General features: G+C 39.7%; 1 annotated feature.

Annotated features, from left to right (window-relative positions):
• Positions 3,342–3,636: a silencer, noted in NCBI's record as "tiled region #406; K562 Repressive non-DNase unmatched - State 21:Repr". NCBI's record gives its function as "represses a minimal TATA promoter and a strong SV40 promoter by Sharpr-MPRA in K562 cells {active_cell/tissue: K562}" and the evidence as "EXISTENCE:reporter gene assay evidence [ECO:0000049][PMID:27701403]".

The following is a 4,233-nucleotide window of genomic DNA, read 5'->3' as shown; positions in this document are numbered from 1 at the left end:
TACTATGAGGCTATTAAAAAGAATGGAGCAAAAACATTCCATGCTCATGAATAGGAAGAATCAATATTGTGAAAATGGCCATACTGCCCAAAGCAATTTATAGATTCAGTGCTATTCCCATTAAACTACCATTGACATTCTTCATAGAATTAGAAAAAAACTACTTTAAAATTCATGTGGAACCAAAAAAGAGCCCGTATAGCCAAGACAATCCTAAGCAAAAAGAACAAAGCTGGAGGCAACACACTACCCAACTTCACACTATACTACAAGGCTACAGTAACCAAAACAGCATAGTACTGGTACAAAAACAGACACATAGACAAATGGAACAGAATAGAGAACTCGGAAATAAAACTGCACATCTACAACCATCTGATCCTTGACAAAGCTGACAAAAACAAGCAATGAGGAAAGGATTTCTTATTTAATAAATGGTGTTGGGAGGACTGACTAGCCACATGCAGAAAATTGAAACTGGAACCCTTTCTTACACCTTACACAAAAATTAACTCAAGATGGATTAAAGGCCAGGTGCAGTGGCTCACACCTATAATCCCATCACTTGGGGAGGCTGAGGCAAGCAGATCACTTGAGATCAGGAGTTCGAGACCAGCTGGAGCAACATGGCAAAACCTCTTCTCTACAAAAATACAAAAATTAGCTGGGTGTGGTGACACACACCTGTAGTTCTAGCTACTTGAGGCAGGAGAATCACTTGAATCCAGGAGGCAGAGGTTTCAGTGAGCCAAGATTGCACTGCTACACTCCAGCCTGGGCAACAGAGCGACTCTGTCTCAAAAAAAAAAAAAAAAAAAAAAAACCTGGGAAGAAATCTAGATAATACCATTCAGGACATAGGCACGGGCCATGATTTCATGACTAAAACACCAAAAGCAATTGCAACAAAAGCCAAAATTGACAAATGGGATCTAATTAAACTAAAGAGCTTCTGCACAGCAAAAGAAACTATCATCAGAGCGAACAGACAACCTACAGAATGGGAGATAATTTATAAGAAAAAAAAACATTAAATAGTGGGCAAAGGACATGATCAGACACTCCTCAAAAAAAGACATTTATGCAGCCAACAGACATATTTTTAAAAAAAAGCTCATCACTGATCAGAAATGCAAATCAAAACCACAATGAGATAACACCTCACACCAGTCAGAATGGTGATTATCAAAAAGTCAAGAAACAACAGATGGCTGGCAAGACTATGGAGAAATAGAAATGTTTTTACACTGTTGGTGGGAATGTAAATTAGTTCAACCTTGGTGGAAGACAGTGTGGTGATTTCTCAAAGACCTAGATACAGAAATATCATTTGACCCAGCAATCCCATTATTGGATATATACCCAAAGGAATATAAATATTCTACTATAAAGATACCTGCACATGTATGTTCATTATAACACTCTTCACAGTAGCAAAGACATAGAATCAACCCAAATGCCCATCAATGATAGACTGGATAAAGAAAAATGTGGTACATATACACCATGGAATACTATGCAGCCATAAAAAGGAACAAGATCATGTCCTTTGCAGGAACATAGATGGAGCTGGAGCCATTACCCTCAACAAACTAACACAGGAACAGAAAACCAAATACCATGTTTCCACTTATAAGTAGGAGCTGAACAATGAGAATACATGGACACACGAAGAGGAACAACACATACTGGCGCCTGTGGTGGGTGGGGGAGGTGCGGCAGGGGGAGGGAGAGCATCAGGATAAAGAGCTAATGCATGCTGGGCTTAATACCTGGGTGAGAGGTTGATAGGTGCAGCAAACCACCATGACACATGTTTACCTATGTGACAAATCTGCACATCCTGCACATGTATCCCAGAGCTAAAATAATGGAGCAGATACATATGTACAGCTATAAAATGACCTACAAAACATACTATTCAATGAAAAAGGCAAGGAATACAACAGTATGTACAACATCCTTTCAACTGTATTTTTAAAATGGAATATGTACATAAATATATGCTTAATTTATGCATAGACTATATCTATAAAAAAACTAAATAACTGGTAGTTTGCAAATAGCCATTCCAAAAATATTAATATGTTCGTATAGCATTTGTGTATGTTTTATTCTTAGCTCTTATTCGATTTCAAGATCCTTAAGGATGAAGATCGGACTTGATTTTTTCTTGATATTTCCAAATGCACAGGAAAGCACACAGAGTAGATAATAAATAAATGCCTGTGGATTAACATGCCCAAATTTACATGGGGAAAAGTCAAGTAAAGTAGGGGGTGTAGAGCAAAGTATTAGTTCAAGCTGATGATAAAAATGATGTGAGGGCTTATTCGAGGAAGGGCTCATTTGTTGAATACAACAAACTTTTCATATCCTTCTCATCACATATCAGTAAGTGTACCTGAAACTTGGCAATAGCTTGTGATTCTAATTGCTGTTGAGATAAGTGTAACAGAAAAGATAAAGCTTTCCATTTTGTCCCCAGAAAGTGGGTACCTCATCATGTTTATCCTGCAGCCCAATCTTGCACACAGCCATCTGCAGTTATATTTGCCATTGTAAAATTAACAGCCCATGTGGTTCCTAGAAAATGTCCAGGTTGAAAAGGGAACTTCTCACTACATGGTGTGCAGTCAGAAACAGCTGGCCCCATGGCCAGGGAGGATTCTACTGCCACCACTGCCGAGGCATTTGCCATGGGTCATTGCCATTCTTGGAGCACCAGACTGGCCCATCAGCCCTTCGTGATACGATACAAACCCACAAGCAGGTGGTTGCTGCTCCACTTCATTTCCTCATTCAAAACATTTCCTGAAGATCATTTCACTTACAAGAACATGTAAGTGAAATATAAAAGATCCAGATCAAAAATAAGTACACCCAAGAACATGTGACTTGGTCCAATTTCAGAGATGTAACTCTTCCTAGGTGGACTGTAGTATTGAAAAGTCCACCAACCTGAAAAGTCACGATATCTGAGATTACCTTAGAAGCAACATATTAAATCTCTTCTTCAACACATAAAAATTAGTTAATTTCATTTGCAAATTATGAAGCTGAGAACATTGAGGGAGAGAAAGAATTATCTGACACTCGTTTCTTTTTTTAGAGACAGGCTAGAGTGCAGTGGCAGTTGGCAGGCAACACCACACCGGCTAATTATTTTGTAGAGACAAAGTCTCACTTTGTTGCTAAGGCTGGTGTCAAACTTAGCCTCCAAAAGTGCTGGGATTACAGGTGTGAGTTACCACACCCTGCCTTAGCTGACATTTTAAATTTTATCAAGCACCTACCATGGTCATGGACTTTGACAGGGGTTATCTCAGTTTTCTTCACAGAAATATCTCTGTTTTACTGTTGAGGAAACTAAAGCTCAGTCAAGTTGCTAAACTTGCCCAAGCTCAAACTTCCAGGGTGTTTATATGTAAATGCCAAGATTTGCATTCAAACTCAGGTCTCTGTGACCTTAAAGCTGATACTCTCCCAATTACAAGAGCCAGTGAAAAACAGGGGTAAGCAGTGGGAACTCTGGAGCCAGGTCACCTGGGCATGAAGCCTGACTCCACCACCTGACAGCAAGGAGCCACTTATCATCACTGTGTCTCATGCCTTCCACCTGTGAAATGGGCACAGTAATAATATGCAATAGGGTTATTTTTATCACAAATGTATCACAATTTATACAAGTACAGCACTTAGAAATGTACTTAGTAGACACTATTATTATTATGTCAAATGGTAACTGAACAAATCAAGAAAAACATACTTTGGTGAGAGATAAAAAGGAATATGATCAAGTTATAAAGCAGAGGAAGGTAGATGGACATAACAGAAATAATCGGGAGGTTTCAGAGTATGTACCTGTGATGATATTTGTGGATGAAAATTGGAAAAAGCTCACCAAGAGAGAACACGGACTGATGAAAGTGGAAGAGAACATTAATGAAGACTAACTTAGAAATCGGAGTCATCCATCGAAGGCACCCCTCCCGAGGAAATCTCAACTGCACAACCCCTACTACGCCCCAATTCAGCAGGAAGCAGTGAGAGCAGTTGTCGGCCAACCTCCCCAACAACAATTGGGTTTTCCTGTTGAGAGAGAGGACTGAGAGACAGGACTAGCTGGATTTCCTAGGCCAACTAAGAATCCCTAAGCCTAGCTGGGAAGGTGACCGCTTCCACCTTTAAACACGGGGCTTGCAACTTAGCTCACACCCGACCAATCAGAGA

The sequence above is a fragment of the Homo sapiens genome, chromosome 5, assembly GCF_000001405.40.
Source record: "Homo sapiens chromosome 5, GRCh38.p14 Primary Assembly".
Classification (NCBI taxonomy): domain Eukaryota; kingdom Metazoa; phylum Chordata; class Mammalia; order Primates; family Hominidae; genus Homo; species Homo sapiens.
Note: the sequence above shows the minus strand (reverse complement) of the source record. Positions and strands in the feature narration are given on the sequence as shown.